Here is a 21,485-nt window from a genome sequence, read left to right on the forward strand (position 1 = left end):
TGGTGAAACCCTGTCTCTACTAAAAAAAAAAAAAAAAAATACAAAAATTAGCTGGGCGTGGTGGCGTGTGCCTGTAATCTCAGCTACTCGGGAGGTTGAGGCAGGAGAATCACTTAAACCAGGGAGCTGGAGGTTGCAGTGAGCTGAGATCATGCCACTGCACTCCAGCCTGGTGACAGAGAGAGACTCTGTCTCAAAAACAAACAAACAAACAAAAAACAAAACAAAAAAATAGGCTACTCAGAACAACTTTACATCACAGCTAAAATCAGAAAAATTGGTATAGAAGAAAATGTCCGGGTTCTAGAAGAAGGAAATGAGAGTTCTGTAGAGGGACAGGTTTTCCAGGGTGTTCAGAGGGAGACTTTCCTAGCAGACCTTCAGTTCCAGGTGAGGGTGGCATCTGCCCCCCTGGTGTGAGCTGAGAAGCCCCCTTGCACAAGGCAGTGTGCTCTGCAGAAAGGTGGCAGCTCCTGGGGCTGTGCAGGTGAAACGAAGGGCTTCGCCGAGAGCACTCCTTTTTTTTTTAAGCAGACAAGACGTAACTCCCTACCTGACAAGCTGCGCATTGTCATGGGATTTGCGAGGTAGAAGCTTCATCTTCCTCCAGTCCAGAAATTCATGGAGGCTGGTGAATGGGTCCTGACTTACAGAGCATTTGTCCATGTCATTCCACACTTCCACGCCTACCAACACGATCCGAATGTTCAGTGGTCTGTAAAACTGGGCAAAACAGGCAAAACTGGCATTGGAGTTGGGATCACGTTAATAAAAACTCGAAATGAAAATTAGAACAGATTTGCGTTATTTGAGGGTCACTGACACAGGTGAGAAAAATATCTCTGTGCTCTTTGGTTCCTGTGGTGTTGGAATTTAAGAAATATTTGCAGTGCCTAATGCAAAGTGATGTGTTAACTAGGTTCTCGAAGATTGACCAATTAGATGCTGAAGTTATCAGCTTTTTTACTGTCTACTTGCATTTGTATGGAAGCATACATTTCAAATGACTCACTGGTGATTTAAAATGTACATACAGATGTGTATTATAGCTAAAGATGGCCAGTTAATATCCACTGCAAGTGAAACAATAAGTGAATTAGGATCTTTCAGACACTTCTGCCAAGGACAATAACTTGTTCATTTTGAGCAAAATGTTCTGCTTATTAGTTACTGAAAATGAATCTGTATTAATTTTTCAGCAAAGTCTCAGCTCTGGCTAACACTATCATATTCTGTCACCTATAATCAACGCAGGTTTTAATAAAATAAAGAAGTCAATATCTTTCAGAATAACAAAGGCATAAACAGAGCCCTTCTTCAGGAACATTAATGACTATCCTCCCCACAGCCAGAAGTTAGCTCACCAACAGTGTCATGGAAAGGTCTGTTAAATGAAGTTCCTCTTTTATGCGCCTGTGAAACAAAGCATCCGGCACACCACTGAAAGCAAGACTTCTCACTCCCCTGCCTGCCCCCACCATCTTTGGGTGTTCCTGACTTCAGCCTATGGCCCATACCTGACTACACCTACAGGCAGGTCGTTCTGGGTCAGGGCAGGGAAAAGCAACTCCTCCAGGGACTAAGGGATGGCTTTGTCTCATAGGAGTTCAGAGGGCCAGGATGAGCGGTCAGGGTAGAGGTATGACCTACCCATTGTCCTCATAGGCATCACATAGACAAGCAGATGGCTTTGTACTCATGGTTGAGGGGGCTAGGACATGGTGTCACCTGGTGGGCTGTCAAATCTTTCAATGCCCCTAGTGTATGAGGCAGCACACAGGGAGAAAGCCCTCATCTTCTGAGATCCCAGGTAGCCACGGAGAAAAGGGTGGCTAGTGATAGCAGCCAAAGCCAAGCACCAGATGAAAGCAGGTCCTATTCTCAGTTGCTGGAAGCATCTGGCCAATAACAAAACTTATAGAAGTTCTGCATTTGCTAGTTAGGCACCATTCCAACATGGTGAACTAAAGTAGAAGAAACTGCTCAAAGTTGAACATCTGACCCTAGATTCTAACCCACATAAGGTGAGCTCATCTTTTCCCTTGCTGGTCCCCACAGTCATCTGGTGAGCATTGGGTTAGCAGGAGAATATGACCAGGATACAAAGTGCATCACAGAATATATGCTGATTGCATTGGTCCAACTTGGTTTCAAACAGATCACAATTACAGACATTACATTAATGAGTTAACGAGACGATTACATGACTACAACACAGCCCAACAGTTTGTTTTCAATCAAGAATTGCATGGCCCACGCTATCTACTTGCAAACTCCCAGCCCAGGCTTCCGGGGCGAAAGTAAGTTCCTGGCCGGCTCTGGAACTCTGAATGCACATGTTTGGCTGCTGTCCACTGAGAGATTACATTTTCAGCTCTATTATATACAAAGGTAACAGTGATCAGAAAGCAGAAACGGAGGCGATCCAATGCTGATGCTCACACCAGCTTGCTAAGAGATGTCCTTGGGGTCAGACACCTTGCGTGGGCTCAGGGTTGGCATCTGGGAAGGAGACACTAGGTTTGCCTCCCAGGAGTGTTGCATGGAGCCAGTAATGAAGGTCAGCAAAGGACTAATTGTCATCATTCCTTAGTGCTAGGTTTGCTGCTTCCTCATCAAGGAGCTTTTCATGATAATGATGGGTTTTGCATCTCCACCTACTAGGCTTCTCAAACCACATCCTTAGAACAGATTTCATACTTAGTAGTAATATAACAGACAACCTCCCCTCTCCAAAATTAGTGCCATTGTTTGACTGTCATTTATGCTAAACTCACATCAAGTCATCATACATGATGCCTTTGCTGCCTGCTCTAAAAGTTCTTTCCAGGGCTGCTGACGGGTTCCTTTTGATTCTTCCTAATAACCACCACCACAGCTAATGTTTAGTGAGCATTACTGCATCACAGGCATGATGCCACGGTGGTTTCTGTGCTGTGGCTTAATCCTGAAAACAACTCCATGTGTTAAGAATTATTATTATTTCTATTTTATAGTCAAAGACACGGAGGCTTGGAGAAGTCAGGTGACTTAAGATTGCAACTCCATGGCTGGGGTTGGAACACAGGCCAGCTAACCCTGACGCTCATGTTTGAACCCACTAGGTAACACTGCCATCTTCTGTGAGCACTAAGACTCCCTTCCAAGACGGCCCACTGTGACCCCAGGCCCGGAGAGAAGCTCACGGGCCTCTGCTGTACAAATGGAGCTTGGCAGCTGCCTGCCTGACTTACAAAGCCCAGAACATATGTGGACACAGTCAGAGATCCAGCTGAAGCGATTCACCTGTTTACACAACAGCAACAAATATTTTCTTGCCTCTTGCTGTGGGCTGGGCCGGCAGTGGCAGAGAGAGCAAAGATTTGGATGCCCTCGCTCCTGCCACCCAAATGCTCAGAGGTCACCAGGGGCTTAAGGCATGGCACACTGAACTGTCAGTTCAGTTAACTCCAATACAGTGAACTGCCAAGCAGTGGTGCACATAGGAAGTCCAGGGACGCTGCACTGGAGACTTTTGGGAAGAAACAGTGAGGCGGAATCCCCTGGGGTCTAATGAAGGAAACTGCATCCTTCAGGCAACTGGTTTGGGACAGGAGGAGAAGAAAACTGTCACATGAGTGAAAATATCCTAAGAAATTCAATACACAGAGGCTGGACATGGTGGCTCATGCCTGTAATCCCGGCACTTTGGGAGGCTGAGGCAGGCAGATCACTTGAGGTTAGGAGTTTGAGGCCAGCCTGTCCAACATGGTGAAACTCCATCTCTACTAAAAATACAAAAATTAGTCAGGCCTGATGGTGGGTGCCTGTAATCCTAGCTACTCGGGAAGCTGAGGCAGGAGAATCGCTTGAACCTGGGAGGTGGAGGCTGCAGTGAGCCAAGATGGCGCCATTGCACTCCAGCCTTGGGGATAGAGCAAGACTCTGTCTAAAAAAAAAAAAAAAAAGAAAGAAAGAAAGAAAAGAAATTAAATACATAGACGATGAGTCCTTTCAGAAGCAGGTCCCTGAATTTGCAGCTGACACTAACTTCCTAATGAATAAGGAGGACAGTCTGGAGGTGAAGGGTGGAAGATGCAAACTCCACGATAGCTCCATGGGCAGGTGCACTCCCCGGGCTCCTGTGGGAATGTAATGAGGACCCGGGGAAAATTCTCAGCGTCTGGCCTAGAAGCATGAGTGTCAGACATGCCTTCTGTGTTTTGCTCATGGGGGGATTTCCTGAACATTCCAGAATGTCACCTTCATCACTAAACCACTCGTCTGTTTTCCAGTCTAGGATGTCCTCTTTCTCCACGCAGCAAGCAGTTATTAAGTTAGAATGGTCCAGGAGAGCCAAGACTTCAGCAAATGAGGAAGTTGCCACTGGCACAGTCGTTGTTTTCTGGACTGAGACACTTTCATTTGTAGAGTTGAAAAACTGAAATTTAGAATTGTGTAACAGAGCTGGGAGTCATCTGTTCATAGACTTGGAAGCACCAAGTCTCCCAGGGGGCCTGGGTATCTCCTCCAAGGTCTTTGGCGTCTGCTGGGGATGGACAGGGATGTCAGGGCCAGGGGTAGCTGTGTGCTCAGCAAATCGGCTCTCTCCCTGCCAGAAACACAAGGACAGCCAGGCCGGCAAACTCCACGGAGTCCGTTAGGACTTTTCCGAGGCACAGTGTTTTTTAATTACCAGTGCAAGTTATTAACAAACCCCTAATTGCTCATTTTTGGTTTTGCAAACTGAAGCAAGATATAACCTAGAATAAATGTGAAGAAATACAAACACAGAGGACCCAAACACATCCCTTTTTTAAAATGGGGCTTCAGCAATTTCCAGTTTGGGTTTAATATAGTTTATCATTTCCTTTTGCTCCCGAGGTCTAAGAAGAACTCGTGTTTTCTTCTCGTTGGACAGTCTGAGGATAGCCTGAGGCCGTTGGGGCAATGGTCCAACTCGCTCACCTTGGAGTGGCACCTGCGCTCCCAGCTCAGGCACCTAAGCCTTCCGCCCTCTAGGCCAGTGCGTCTCAGTCCCACTTCATGTTAGGATAACTGGAGGACCCTGGAGAATATCTGTGCCTAGGCCCTGTGCCAGGTCAATCAAATCAGAATCCCTGGGCCAAGGTGTGGGAATCAATATTTCCTAAAGTAAACATATAAACAAATAGACAAACAAACTCCCCTCCAGGGGTTCTAATGTCCAGTCTAGACCGAGGTCCAGTTCTAACTGCCGTGCTATCTTTGATGTCTCCTCTAAGACCCACCCTTCATCCCCCCTGCCAGGATTTGCCTTTCACCAGGATTCTCCTGCACCTGGACTATGGGATAAAGTTGAATCTGCAAAGAGTAACTACTGAAAACACATCAACAGGCAGGGGTTGCCAGGAAGTTTGACCTGCTTCAAAGGTGGACAAGGGCAATATCATCCCAGGATATCAACGGCCATGTGGGTTTTTCTGACTTCCAGAAAGTTCCATGTAGCCATAGCCTCTCTCTGAGTGGCAAACCCAGATCTCTGACTGTTCAGAGTGCCCTTCAAACTCCTCTTCCTGCTCCCCCTTTCCTGGGGTATGAAGCATCGTCTACCTGCCCCTCCACTCCAACGAAACTGGCGGTCATGTGGTCTCCCACTCGCCCTCAGCCTCTGCTTGGTCATCATGAGGTCCCGGGACTCACAGTAGGGGGAGTAGAGTCAAAGCCAAGAGCCCCTGCTGCTGGGAGTTGGCAAGACTAGCACTCATCCCTCGTCCTGCAAATGAATAACCTCTGCCCATCTCAGCCTCCTCTGCTTTAAAAATAAGAACAATAGTGTGTACCTGAGAGTGTGTGCAAAGCACTTAGAGCCCGGCACACAGTAACTGGTAAAAATAATAATCAGGAAACACATCCCTTCGAGCCTCTCTCAATCCTTGTCCTTCTCACTTCCCCACTTCCCCTGCCCTGGGTCAGGTCAGGCCTTTATCCCTTCTTTTTCTTCTTCTTCTTTTTTTTTTTTTTTTTTGAGATGGAGTCTCGCTCTGTCACCAGGCTAGAGTGCGATGGCGTGATCTCGGCTCACTGCAACCTCTGCTTCCCGGGTTCAAGCAATTCTCCTGCCTCAGCCTCCCGAGTAGCTGGGACTACAGGCGCATGCCACCACGCCCAGCTAGTTTTTGTATTTTTAGTAGAGACGGGGTTTCACCATGTTGGCCAGGATGGTCTCGATCTCTTGACCTCGTGATCCGCCCGCCTCGGCCTCCCAAAGTGCTGGGATTACAGGCGTAAGCCACCGCGCCCGCTCAGGCCTTTATCATTTCTATGCAATAGGCTCCTCTCAGCCCTATTTGTCTTTGGTTATCCCACCCTCCACACTAACTGCAGGAATATTTTTCTACTATCATGTGTGTCTCTCCCCTGCTTAAAAACATTCACCTAGCTCTCTATTCACTGCAGAATAACATCAAGATGGCTTCGTAGAACAGCCGGGGCCTTGAGCACCGTGAATCTTTGCAGCTTCATCTCCTCCTGCCCTAGCTCTGCATGCATACATTTGCATACAATATGAGCATGCATGTACACAAACACACATACATGCATGCAGGGCACACACACGTATGAACACACACATGAACACATATAGGAACACACATGCATGTACATGTACATGAAGCACATACATGTCCACATCACACATACTCCTTCTTCTGCTATGCTCACAGTGAAACTGAACTTACCTTTGAGGATCCTCTCCCTGCAAAGACTCCCTGGCCCTGGGAAGAAGTAAGTGATTCTCTTCTGCATCCCCATAAACCTCCATTCATAGCATGGATCTAGTTCTTAATGCCTTGGACCATGCTGTGTGGGTTGCATGTCTGCTTCCCTACACAGCCTTGACGTTCTCAAGTGGAGGGACCACATCTGATTCATTCTGAATTATTGATGCAGAGTGCATAAGGTCTTGTAATATGGAGCCGAATTTCTGAAAGGACCTTTGCCTTCATTTTTCTGAAAACTTAGAGAATGCAATTCAAATCGAATAAGATTGCTTGGAAACAAGGCTAGAGTGAGGCACCCTCACAAACCACTATGTGTAAAATCTGCTGTTTCAGAGGACCATGGATGTGAAAGGCTCAGCCATGACCAGATCCCTTCTCACACTGTCCCCACAGGCAAGAGACTCAGTATTGCTGAGAGACTATGGTTGCTTTAGGACAGCGGTCACCATCCACATTGCACATGAGAATTGCTGGGGAGCTTCTGAAAATTCGAGGTCTAACCTCCCCCCCGCCCTGCCCCTTGAGGGCAGCAATGCTTTCAGAAGCTCACAGGGCAACTCCAATATGCGGGGCTTGTGAGAAGCCTATTTTAGGCTAAGGGTCGTCAGCAGCAAATAGCCAACATCCTCTCCAGCAGGATACACTGAGGAAGGACAGGTGGTTTAGACAGAGAGCGCTGCCATTTTCTTTGCCGGCCCGCAGTGTGAGGAGCGGTTAGTGAACAAGTACCCCAGGAGTAGGACCTGGTTTGCAGGGGCTCCTCCAGCAAGGAAATCATCTTTGTGAAAGGTGAGTTTCTGACCTACTTGTTCTTGGCGAGGGATTTTCCAATAGCTGATTTAGCTGAAAGTCAACTTCTGTGTTCCAGGACAGTGAAGCCTATGGATCCCTTATAAATGCAAGCCCACCCTCAGGGTTACATTGGTACAGGCCTGCAATGATGGGGACAGATTGAAGGGGCCTGTGGGATCCGTCATCGGGAGACCTGGGAGAGGCCCGGCTCAGGAGGAATCCAAAGGATCAGGTGAACTCTGTAGGGGTTCTGGAGCTAATCGGGAAGTCCAAAACACCCTCAGACTGGTATTCCACCTGACCGGAAGAGAGCCTGGAGGAAGACATGTCACCAAGGCCACCATAGTCCAGACTGCTGTGGTTTGGCATCTCCTGAAGCTGCCCCAGGACCCAGGAATTACACACTCAGAGGACAGGAAACAGTTCCAAACCAAGGCCCAGAGGCAGAACCTCATCTCCTTGCTAAGTCAGATGAGGTCCCCCAACCTCATTTCCAAACATTTACATGATCTGAATGATTTAACTACTGAAAAAGAACTTACCTTGTCAACGTGATTAGCAATCTCTATTAATCGCTGCTTAACTTTTTCCAGATCTTTTCCTTGCCTCTGAAACTTAACAATTTTAAATGGCAGCATTAATACCAGCAAGAATATCAATCACGTTTCATCTTCCTGGCTTCTGGAAATGTGAAGTCTTGGGATTTTACAAACCACTGGGGACCCTCCACAGTTCACGGTAAAATGAGCTTGCATCCTGCCGACTAACTTTCCCGGCTGGGGACTCCCTGAAATTCCCTGAAATTTGCCTAAGCCAAGTGCTCTCAAGACAGCAACTTCTGCAATTTTCCAGCCTCATAAATGATGGAGGCAGTGACTTGTTTTGGCAAAGAGGAAACAGACAACTAGAAGTCAGTCCAAAGCCATTTTTCATATCATCAACTTGATTTTAACTTCCTGAGAAATTTTCTTTATATTTGTTTTTAAAAATTAAAAAGTAAAAGTCATAGAAGCTCATGGCAGCTTGTCAAACAATACAGAGGAGAATAGACAAAAAAATCAACAAATTTCCCATTCCCCTCTCTAATCTGACCTTCCAGAATGGGAATCATTTTCTGAAAAATAGTCAAGCCTGTTTCATTCATAGGTGTTGAAAGAGTCTATGAGAAAATATCACCCAATCACCCAATTCATATATGCCAATGAGGCAGTAAATACAGAGAAGATAATCTTTAGAAAAACTAATTCAAAATTAATTAAAATAAAAAATGAATGTAGTATCAAGCTATAGCTCAGAGGGGAGGATTTTTCTGCTGTGTCTCTATAGCCTTCATTCATACCTTCATTTATTCATTTTGATTAATGACATATGGGATATTTTTTAAATGTCCCATTTTAAAGACTAAACTTTTCCCCAAAATGTTTTAGAATATAATCTAAAGCCTTCTGTCATTCCTCTCAGTTAATTCTCCTTGTTTGGAGAGCTGAGCTATAGAGCAACTCTGTTTTTTCCTGCAGGCTTTGCCATTACTTTATATATCAAATAAATTTTTAATATTGTATGCTTTATAAAATCAGAAAACCATTGTTTCAATGGGTTGTTTCCATTGCTTTTAAGAGCACATAGGAAATGAGGTTCATTAAAGCAAGTAATAACTTGCAAAACATGTCCTTTTTTCTTTTATCTCTAACCAACCATACTGAGAAATTTTAAAAAGTTCTTACCTCTCGGTTGTCTGCCACGATCACCAGCTCCACATACTTAGTTGCCTTGAGGGTCTCTCTTTTATGCTGCCAAGAGTAAACATGCACTTAATCTCTCTTAATGCCTCTCTGGCATTAAGACTGTCAATGTCTCTCAATCTAAACACTTTAGGTTGAGAATGTATATCCCCCATCCCCGCCAGGCCCCCACACCTCCATTCCATCTAGAAGTTTACCCCAACTCCAACCAACTCTTTGTAAAACCTTCTCAACATGAGTAACCAGCTTCCATTTCCACTTGGAAAACCCTTAAAAAGGAGTTTAAGCTTTCTGCTGAATCATGGATTATTGGAGCAGCAAATCAAGATTATTAAACAAAACGAGCACATAAACAAACAAAACCAAAGCACTCTCTAGAACAGGAGCCAGTCAAAAGTCATTTATTTCAGACCACGTGTAGGTCTTCTCTGATGACCACATTTGAAGGTCATCAGAGAAGACGACGGAGTTCAATGCACTGTGGCTGTTCCCTTTGTCTTTATGGTCCAAGTGTACCTGTTTTGAGACTTAAGAAAAGTGGAGGAGAATACATTTTGAACAGGAACTGTATAATCATTTTTTAAATGATAATGTAAAAATCTAGTTAGAAGCAATGGAAGACCGGGGTGGTCTGGAGAAAAGGAAACTGTCAGACTAATGAACAGAGAAGTGAGAAAGGTATGAGGAGAAAAAAAAAAGAGCAAAGAGAAAGAGAACGGAAAGAAACAGAGTTAAGAAAAAACTAAGACTGCAATATGCCCCTGGAGAACAGGGATTTCGTAAGAGTGAGACAGTTGAGAGAACATGGAAAGTGGATATGGAAGTGGATGAATGGAGATGATTCAGGCAGCAGAAATAGGAACCCCGTCCCCCACAAAGGCAGCTCCTGAAGTGGATCACATTTTAATCAAACTTCCTCAAAAAGCATTCACACTCTTCTGTGAATTACTGGAAGAATTCCAAATGCATTTTTAAGAGAAATAAAGCAGTTCGTGGAGGGTGGTCTCAAAAAGCAAACATTAAAAACAAAAAACAAAGCCTTCTGTTTCTGCCATAAAATGCAGTTGGAGGAAGTGGGGGTTAAGTTGGTCTTTGGTCCTGATGACTGATATTGCTGGTTTATGAGTTAACTACACACACTGCTTCAAGTTTAAAACTTGCATGTTATAACCACTCTTTCAGACAAAAGCAAAAGAAAATCACAAAAGTATGCTTTGAATCAGGTTTCCAGTCACATAATCCTGAGGGAAACATCTTTTATAAAACAAATCCCCATCAGTCCGGGATCTTCCAAACAGACTTTTACAAGAAAAATGTTTGTATTATAGCAGTGTTCCTTCTTGCTGCCCAGCTGTGCTAATTCATGAATTTAGGTGTTCCTAAAGATATCTGGAAACCTTATGGAAAAGGAAAAATAAAGCACCAGGAAAGGTACAATTTCTCATATCTTTACAATGTTACAAGAAGAAACTGTTACGCTTTGTAACTATATGTTGTAGGCATGCTTTATGGTGATAACTATGCGTTACTTATAAAAGAAAAGACATTTGCCCCCATGGTGCCCACGGGTGCACACAAAATGAGACACCTTCTGAAAGTGTGAAGATCTTGCCCTTTTTCCTCATTGAGGCGTGAAAGAGGCAGAACCCTCTCTGTTGTCCATAATTCCCTAATTAATCATTAAAAAAATTTGGCTAATTATGCAGAAGAAAATATAGCTCTAGAAATGAAAAACTAATCTCTCATTGAAAAGCTCATGGAAAGGAATCTGGTTGTTTAGACGTTTACACTTTTCAGCCTGCAGAGGGGTGAAATAAACGACCATGGGATATTTCCAACTGGCTTAAGATCCCCATTTAGAAAATACACAATTCCAGATAATAAAAACAAACATGTGAACACAATTTTCCTGTCTCTGCAATTTTCAGAGAAGTCTACATTTTCTCATGAATTCAGAGAACTGCAAGCTCAGAGGGAAGCTTAACCACATAATAAAGAGAAGCACTGGGGGAGTCGCCGGCTCAGGGCGGAGGTTTATTCTCCTGTTAGCTGCACACACAGAGAGAGGTTTACATTATCCCCACGTGATTTCCACCTATCTGGCTGTCCAGTTAAAAAAACAACAACAAAGAATCATGTTTTTAAATTTGTGATATGGAGAGCAACATTTGAAACTGGTTGCTGAAGACATGGAACCAATCCAAATGCCCATCACTGATAGACCGGATAAAGAAAATGTGGTATATACATACACCACGGAATACTATGCTGCCATAAAAAGGAATGAGATCGTGTCCTTTGCAGGGACATGGATGAAGCTGGAGGCCATCATACTCAGCAAACTAATATAGGAACAGAGAACCAAGTGGGAGTTGAACAATAAGAACACATGGACACAGGGAGGGGAACAACACACACCAGGGCCTGTTGAGGGGTGGGGGATGAGAGGAGGGAATTTAGAGGATGGGTCAGTAGGTGCAGCAAACCACCATGGCACACGTATACCTATGTAACAAACCTGCACGTTTTGCACATGTATCCTGTTTTTTTTTTTTTAAAGAAGAAATTAAAATAATAATTTTAAAAAATTTAAAAAAAGAAACTGGTTGCTCTACTGGATTTTCATTTTGGGGGGTTATGAACAAAAGCCCTTCCTCAAACGGGAACATCAGCCTCTGGGATTAGCCCAAAAGTCTCCGTTCCCAGGTGGAGGCAGAGGCCTTCTTTGAATCTTGCTCAAGAAAGAACCAGTTCCTGGGCCTCTCAAAGTCATCACAGCCAAGTTCCCCAGGATAAATAACCCCCGATCAGCCTGCAATGAGGACTCTGGCAATGGGAACTTAACTCAAGTTAGAAAAGCAAGTTGACATTGGGGCTATAATAAATCCTCATTGCAATTCTTTCTTCATATGGGTCAGACCATTTGTATAACATTTATTCATCCCATGCTATCTACCAGGGATGCTGTTTGCACTAGGCCCTGTGTAGGGTGCTGGGGATACAGTGTGGACAGGAAACTCATATTCCTGAAACCCAGTGTCCTCCTGAAACTCATATTCCTGAAACCCAGTGTCCTCCTGAAACCCATATTCCTGAAACCCAGTGTCTTCCTGAAACTCATATTCAGGAAACCCATATTCGGGAAATCCAGTGTCCTCCTGAAACTCATATTCTGGTGGGGCCTGGGAGAAGGTGAGCCCATGCAGAATTAACGAAAGAAAGAGAGAGTCTGTGAAAAGTACAACAAAGGAAATAAACAGGGTTCTGCAGGTAGGATGAAGCTGGGCAGTGGGCAGGCCAAAGGTAGCTGAGGCCTGAAGGATGAGAAAGAGGCATGTGTGGAAAGATTGTGGGAACAGTGTTTCAGGTAGATGGAATGGCAACAGCAGATGTCCTGAGGCTGGGGAGAGCTTGTGGGTGTTGGCAACAGGCCGTATGGCTGGAGTCTGGCGAATGGCGGACAAGAGTGGACGAGAGGAGGTGGAAGATGGGGACAGGACACTGGGGCCATGGCAAGGAGGTTGAGTGATAGCCTAATAATCTAAGAGCATGGGGGCCTTGAATGTGAGATTTTAAAAATATTGCAACTGGGCGTGGTGGCTTACGCCTGTAATCCCAGCACTTTGGGAGGCTGAGGTGGGCGAATCCCTCGCGGTCAGGAGTTCAAGACCAGCCTGATCAACATGGTAAAACCCTGTCTCTGCTAAAAACAGATAAATTAGCCAGGTGTAGTGGTACACGCCTGTAGTCCCAGCTACTCGGGAGGCTGAGGCACAAGAATTACTTGAACCTGGGAGGTGGAGGTTGCAGTGAGCCGAGATGGCACCACTGACTCCAGCCTGGGCAACACAGTGAGACTCCGTCTCAAAAAAAAAAAAAAAAAAAAAAAAAAAAAATATATATATATATATATATATATATATATATATATATATATATAATATATTGCTCTGGCTACTGGAAGGAGAACGGATTCTAGGGAGATGATATTGGATGATACTGGAAGCTGAGAGTGCAGCAAGGAGGCCATGCAGTCGTCCAGGTGAGAGGTGACAGTCATGATGGACATGGGTAGCCACATGCAAGCCAGCTGTGCTATCACCTGACAGCGAGAAAACAACAATCACAATGAGACCACAGCCAAAGTGTCCATCGCCAGCAATATCAGCAAATGAAATGAATCAAAAGTTTGGTTTCTCTTCCTCTAGGCAAGAAAACAATCAGTATTAGCTCAAGCAAGCAACGCTCCATGCCTTGACTCTAACATCACTTTCTGCGTATTTGTAAGTTGAGCTCCAATTTCGGTTAGGAAAGGTTGTCTCTACCATCCTTGACCGTGACTGGCATGGGGACAGCACACACTGATCATATCCACACAGGATACAGCCTCTGACACCTGGCCGACATGTAGGCGGGCAGAAGTAAACAAATGAGACATTCTGCCAGGAGAACAGGCTGAATCCGGCAAACTGAATGTTAATAGGGAGAAATGTGAAGTATTGAAATTAAGCCTTAAAAACGAATGGCACAAGTGAGATCTATTATTTATTTATCCAGAGCTTCAGTGGATTTGAAACTCACTAGGAATCCACACCTGGAAAACTGGAGCCTCCACTCACATAAATAGATATTCAAAGCCCAGGGCCAAGGAAGTGGTGCTGCCCCGTTCCCCACCAAGCGGTTCTTTTGTTTTGTTTTTTGTTTTGAGACGAGTTTCACTCTTGTCGCCCAGGCTAGAGTGCAATGGCATGATCTCAGCTCACTACAACCTCTGCCTCCTGGTTTCAAGTGATTCTCCTGCCTCAGCCTCCCAGGTAGCTGGGATTACAGGTGCCTGCCACTACGCCCTGCTAATTTTTGTATTTTTCGTAGAGATGGGGTTTCACCACGTTGGCCAGGTTGGTCTTGAACTCCTGACCTCAGGTGATCTGCCTGCTTCAGCCTCCCAAAGTGCTGGGACTACAGGCGTGAGCCCCCACCACCAAGCTTTAAGAACAACTAAGGTAGTAAAAGAACATGATAGTCTCTTAGAAGAGGCATGGAAGCAAGGATGGTTGTTAGAGAGGAATTCAGTATGCCTGTCATATTTAAGGAGTTTTCAAACAGTTCTGGCCAGTTCCTGATATTCAACTCTCATTAGGCTCTACATATAATGTGCTATATACTGCTATGGCTACAAATACCCCACCACTACTGTGCCTTCTATTAAACAAATACGATAGGCTGTCTAGAAACACAAAAGCAATAGCACCAGTTCATTTCAGAATGGCCACCTTCGAGGAAGCAAAACAGCACCTCCCCAACTCGCTGTCCTATATGTACACAGTACCCAAGCAAACATTTCTTTTCAGAGAAGGCAGCAACTTTTCTATTTGACTCATAATTATCCATACTAACGGAGGGGAACAATGGCACAGATAATCCCTAAAGAAAAGGCAATTCAAAAATAATTTGCATTTGCCTTTGGGATGTCTTATGTGATTTTCTCCAGTAGATTTACCATCTTTGCCTTGCTCAGAGCTTGCTTAGGATGATGTTAAAATTAGTTTGCATTCTTGAATGAGTAGCCGATGGAGAGGGAAGGAGTCTGCTGTGGGGGAGCTGAACAGTAAGGAGGCTTCAGGATGGAGACTCAAAAATCCACAGAGAGAACGAGCTGACTGTGACGCTCCCTGTTTCTCTGTGCCCTTCGAGGGGCAGCCTGGGTTCTCACTAAAATCTAATGTGGAGCCTTGTAAAAATGACAAACAATAGCTCAGGTTTATATCACAGCCAGTGTATACCCTGAGTGCAGATTTATTCCTGATGCTCTGTGAAGAAAAACGCAAACATCTGCAGAAAAATCAGAGTCTGCAAACCAGTCTTTGCAATAGTTAACATTTAGTGGGGGCAGAAAAATGCAGGGAAAAAGCAAATGCAGTTGCTGCATTGCATAAACAAGATTAGTTAGCAGCCTTTCTATTGATTTTTTTTTAAGAGTGAAATAAAGGCAGCATAAGTGGGGCAGGAAATGTCCCTTTCATATTTACCGTAGGTGCTAACCAAAACAATCTACTATATAATTCCAATTCACAAGGATTCCACATATTTGAAATTATTTTTCGCACCATTTTCATTATATACATGCATTTTAAGTCCAGGATGCTTTCTCTTCCATAAAAACCATCACAGTGCTTTCTAGAGAGAAATATTGAGAACTGAGTTGACCGGCATTGATGCCTTCCCTTTTCAATTTAAAGGTTCATTTGCACTTCAATATGCATTATTAACAAAGCACCGTTGTTATTCCCATTCTCCCCATTTCTCCACAAGTCAAAATGACTGGAAATTACAATCATGCTTCTAGAAAGCTGTAAGCTAAAAGAATTAAAATATGGCTGGCAAGTACAGACCAAGTGTGTACTTCTATATGAAACGACAAACATATTTGAGTGTCATTTAAGCCATCAAATTATAAATCTTGTAACGTGGGCAACGTGCATTCAACAAGGTACTCAAAGCAAAGAGCCTGGAAAACAAAATGCAAATGTTCTACTTGTTTATGACCGGTAAAGCTACAGCTTAATCACATCTTCTCCAAGGTTTGGAATCAAAGGCAAAAGCATTTGAAGAGTAAAATAAACCTGCCGTGGGACCCCAGAGGCTGATCTTTAAATCCACCACTAAGACAGGTTGCGGGGAGAAGCACAAGTTGAAAAGTCTCTTGAGCTTGTAAGGGTAGAGGTTGGGGGGGTAATTTTCAAGCTCTGTTCCTTGGGATTAGGATACAGTGTTCTGCCACCAAGCAGCCATGTCAAGGTGAGCCACAGTACCAGATGGGAGAGTTCCTCCCCTTCCTGTGATGGGGCAGGAAACGAAAAAGAGGTTGTGAGCACCTGCCATAGAAAGTCTTAGAAACATACTAGCAAACAGAAGACGTGAGGGTTACACAAGTAGAATACCTGGACTGAAAGAATGAATGTAAAATTAGAGTTAAAAGTCCTGAACTGGTTCCGATAAGAGCAGTTTTAGGGGAACAGACATCTATCCACAGGTATGAGGGGAATTCTAAGAATTAGAAGGTATCATTTGGGATAACCCCTACTGTTTCCAACTAGAAAAATGATTTAGAATGAACCAAGAATAATATTCATTAAATATTGAGTGCTAAGCAGTGGTCTACTGAAATTCAAGTTAGGAGACAACAACGGGTTAGGAGAAACCTAGAAGAAATGTTCTCGGACAGTCAAATATAAGCACAAGCGACATCCTATCTATAAATTTTCTTGATTTCTTGTCAACAGAGGAACAGGAAATCCAGAAATGGAAAATCAGGAAATTGTTGATAATTTCCTATCTGTTTCTGCTCATTTAAATTCAGGGCCTCCAGCCAAATGTTGGGAACGATTGCCTTTAATCCTTATTAAAAGAGCTCTACTGTAGCCTCTGTTGCCCACATAATGCCAGAGAGAAAAGGGGCAGGCCACCCTTAGGGGTGGAGGTTTCATGGTGTGACACTACACGTGTCAGGAAGGGAAGTCTGTCTGCAGCACAGACTCCCTTAGGCAACTACTCTTTCCAGTGCTGCTGCAAAAAGGAAGACATTTTATCAGCAGATCCAGGGGCTGGTGGCCAGAAAACACAGACTGCTTGGACGGTCCCAGGAGGGAACTAGGACAAGCATTTGCAGCTTGGACTGTGGATAAGCAAGATTCCTGAGCCACATCACGTGGAGGAAGGCCCAGTTCACCTCTGCATAAGTGTGTAGGCAAAGAGTGAGAATTCTCTGCAAATTATAAGAACCCAAACTTGCTAATAAGGAAGGCTCTATGTAGTCTTTCACCTCCAGTAGATGGAGAGCTGCTAGAGAGTGGGTCAGGGTCCAATCTTGTCTTGCTTGTCATGGTGGCGCCCAACCCTGGGCCTAGGACCATAGTAGGGTCTCTTGGGAGATTCCATGAATCTTGAGCTTGTGGGGGTAGAAGTTGGGGGGGCGTAATTTTGTCATCCTTTGATCCCAACTGTGTGACTTTCCTCAGCATATTTTAATGAGTCTGAGACTGACATCTGCAGTACAGTGATGGGGATTTGGCTTATGGTTGTGTCCCACTGTATAATGTCTACCACCTCCAGATAAACTGGGCACTTCCATCCCCCAGATGCCGCATCATCTAGATGGCAACATTTCTCCAGATGTCCTAGTGTGGGGTATCCGTAGCTTGAGCTCCTAGCTTTCCAGAAACACAAAATCAGGTATCCCCCTTACCCTTCTTGCCCATGTCTGAGAGGGTGGTGGAAACACATTCTTTGCAGCGAGGTTTGGTGTGTTGTGATGTGATCCACATGATCCCCGGACGCTTTTCAGCTTCTTCGCTGGGAAGAGTTTGTATCTGTTGGTTGCACTTTTCATTGGTTCTAAGACATAGCTTTCATTTTCAAACACAATAAGTCCCCTGTTGAAAAAGAAACAAGAAAAAATATATAATTTTAAGGACAGCTTCTTGTTTATGGCCAAGACACAGTTCTTAACAAGAGAGAGAATGAAAACAGAAACACCAATTTACTTATATTCTCAGATTTTGATTGGAAAGGACGTTTCTGTGACATATGTTTGCATTGATTCATTTGGCAAATCTTTTGGAAAGTTAGCCTAGGAATTTTCTTCTGTTTGAAATATTTTATGGTAAAGAATACAGTGCATTTTGCTTTTGTATGTTTTTATCTCTTTTTATGTCTCAAAGATATATTGCCGGGAAGAAGAATGAGGAAAAAGATGTTTTAACTGCTTAGAAGATAACTGTATCTGAATTAGCAGACACATTTCAAAAGGAAAATGTTTACTTTTAAAATATTTCAATAGCCTCAGGGGTACAGTAGCCTTTGGTTACGTGGATAAATTGTGTAATGGTGAAGTCTAGGATTTTAGTGCACCTGTCATCTGAGTAGTGTACGTTGTACCCCACAGGTATTCTTTCATCCCTCTCCCGCCTCTTGGCCTCCCCCTTCTGAGTCTCCAATGTCCATTATATTACTCTGGATGCCTTTGTGTACCCATAGCTTACTTCCCACTTAGAAGTCAGAAAATGCCATATTTGTTTTTCAATTCCTGAGTTATTTCATTTACAATAATGGCCCTAGTTCCATCCAAGTTGCTCCAAAAGCCATTAGGAAATCTTTTTATAAAAGGACAATTCCTACATCTAATTATTTATCCTGATCAGCCCTATTCCCTAAATATTTGATGGAATTATAAGCACCATGAGTACAAATTTATATTTTTTTATTTACTTATTTAATTTGTGGGAGATGTGTGAATAAAGGAACCCACTTAAGTACACAGAACATTAGCACTGCTTCTTGGAGGCTGAGGTCCGGCCTCTGGATCCTGTGTTCAGCTCTTTCTGGAATCAAGAACACTACAGGGAGAAGTGCCAGTCTCAACGCTGCAAGGGTGGCCTCTGGAGTCTGGAAGCTCTGGGTTTGAGTTCCAGTTTTTTACTTACTAGTTATGTGACCTTAACTTTGAGCCCTGGTTTCTTCACCTGTAAAATGGGGATAATGGTACCTACTTCTCAGGGTTGCTATGTCATCGAGTCAAAACGCTTAGCCCAGGGGAGGCCCCAGGTCAGTGCTTGAGAGATGGTAGCTTTCTTTACTATTAATAAGGGCAGATTCATGGATTAGGCATCTGTTAACAGGTTAACTGAAAGACTGACAACTTCAGGAAAGTTCTGTATTTTGTTAACCCATCTGCTCATAGGAATACTGGTCACTCATGGCTCTGTGATATAAAATATAGCATTAAAAATATAAATACATTTCTGGGAATGACAATAACTAAGAAAGAACCTTTTGAGCCAGTCTTTAGGTTTGGGAAAGAAAGCATAGATTCTTTTTAAAAATGGACAAATTTGCTGAAGACTCTAACTTGCAGAGATAGAAGGTGACATTTAGCCATGGACCATGACACATGTCTGACCTTCTGGAGCTCACAGCTAAGGCCACATCCCACTGCCTGGAAATGAGTAATGCTAGCCTTGGGCTGTCGGGTTCCTTCAAACGATGGGAACCTCGGCCTGCAGCTTGGTTTTCATTTCTCTCTTTGCTAAGGTGGGGCAGTGAAGTGCTTTAATTTAAAAGGTGCTTCCTGATGTTGAGAGAAAGGTTTTCTTTGGAGAAATGACAATTTGGGTAACAGCAAACTGGCATCTCTGAATTCCCATGTGTCTAGTACCTTATGTTATTTAGCGAGGTGACCACTATCTCTCCACTTTAGAAAGACACAAAATTTTCATGTAAAATTCATCTGACTGGAAATGGACCCTTCTAATACAGTGACTACTAACCTTTTGTGAGACATGAACCTCCTTAGACTCTTCCTAGAATAATTCACATACATACCTGTAGGGGCTAAGGGAAAATGTCCTCCTTTGCCCTCTGAAAGTTCACTACAAATCAACTGACAAAAGGCAGAAATATTATGGGAGAAAAGGCATACAATTTTATTTTAACAGTCATAGCACAGGTGAATTGTAGAAGAATGATTACTCAATGGGGGCACAGATGGTTATACACCCTTCTTCTTAGGAGAAAGGGAGATAGGGAAGTATGGATAATTTTAGGGGGTGAGTAAATGATTTTTAGGGGAATTCATTGGGCTGGAAGAACATACAATGGCCTGGGACAAAGTCTGTTGGGCCTGCAGAACAGACAACGGTTTATGACAAAAGTCTGTCTGGATGTGTTGACAGGCTTCAGTCTTTCTTCCTGTGACATTAGTTAATGAAAACTCAGAGAGGGACCAAGGTAATTTATTTCTTTTTTGGAGGGTCTATAGTTTAGGCAGATAAGGGAATGTCAGAGAACAACTTCATCCTGTGCTTTTGGAGAGTCAGATGGGGTGAAGGTGGGTGCCAGGGGCCAGAGAGACCTTGAGGGTTTTCCTTCAGTTCAGCATGTCAAAGATCCATATTTTGGGGTATCATTTTCTGAGCCCCAACATACATAACCACAAAATTTTGCAGATTATTTTAGCAAATTCAGGAGTGAGGATAAGGTCTATGTAAATGGAATGAGGTTTAGGGCATTAGTTCTAATATATAATAATACACAATATATAATAATATATATTATATAATATATATGCAATATAATTATATATTATATATTACATATGTAATATAATATATATTATATATTACATATGCAATATAGCATATATTATATATTACATATGCAATATAATATATATTATATATTATATATGCAATATAATATATTATATGCAATATAATTAAATATATTATATATTAGATGTATAATATACTATATTATATATAGTATATATATAGTATATATACTATATACTATATATACTATATATACTATATATACTATATATACTATATACACTATATACTATATATATACTATATACTATATATATTATATACTATAGTATATATACTATATAGTATATACATACTATATATTATATAATATATAATATACTATATTATATTATACATGTAATATATATTATATATGCAATACATAATATATATTATCTTACATGTAACATATATTATATATTACATATGCAATTATATATTATATGCAATATATAATATATTGCATATTATATAATATGCAATATATTATATATTGCATATTATATAATATGCAATATGTTATATATCAGAAATTATATAATATGTAACAATATATAATATAATAGAAAATTATATATTATATAATTATATAATAATATATAATCTTATATAATAATTAGTTCTAATATATAATTTATATTGCAGCAACCCAAGGATCTAGGTATACATCAATCCTCGAGGAATAGCTGGTCAAGTTGCAAACTCCATCAGTTTTCCTCAATCTAAGCTTCTTTCCAAAGAAGGGACTGTGTAAGGTGTTCCTATGTCATTCATTACTGCTTACATATTTGTTCAGTCATTCATCATCCTATGCTCATTGATGGCCCATTCGTAGGTAGTATTTAACAACTCTTAAATTTTAATAGATTGACAGTATCTCAACGCTCAAATGATACGGAAGGAAGAGGCTTGAGTTAGTCAAGTATCTATTTTGAACACAACTGGTAAGCAAATACAGACTAATCAACTCATTAGTATTTAACTGGCTTACTCCACCAATCCTGTTTTATGAGTTGTCATGGGCAATGGGAGAAACAGATCTATCATGCTCAGGATACTGG

At 42.5% G+C, this 21,485-nt stretch overlaps 1 protein-coding gene across 5 annotated transcripts in view; it reads right to left on the bottom strand.

Annotated features, from left to right (window-relative positions):
• Window positions 1-21,485, bottom strand: part of ADAM12 (ADAM metallopeptidase domain 12) — a 376,087-nt gene that overhangs the window by 88,128 nt on the left and 266,474 nt on the right. For all 5 annotated transcript variants that reach the window (NM_001288973.2, NM_003474.6, NM_001288975.2 and 2 more), the window contains exons 6-9: window positions 17,520-17,706; window positions 9,257-9,322; window positions 8,075-8,146; window positions 554-723 (exon numbers count right to left, since the gene is read on the bottom strand). In NM_001288973.2, the coding sequence (NP_001275902.1) occupies window positions 554-723; window positions 8,075-8,146; window positions 9,257-9,322; window positions 17,520-17,706 (495 nt within the window). The remainder of the gene's footprint in view (window positions 1-553; window positions 724-8,074; window positions 8,147-9,256; window positions 9,323-17,519; window positions 17,707-21,485) is intronic.

Source organism: Homo sapiens, chromosome 10 (genome assembly GCF_000001405.40).
Source record: "Homo sapiens chromosome 10, GRCh38.p14 Primary Assembly".
NCBI lineage: Eukaryota > Metazoa > Chordata > Mammalia > Primates > Hominidae > Homo > Homo sapiens.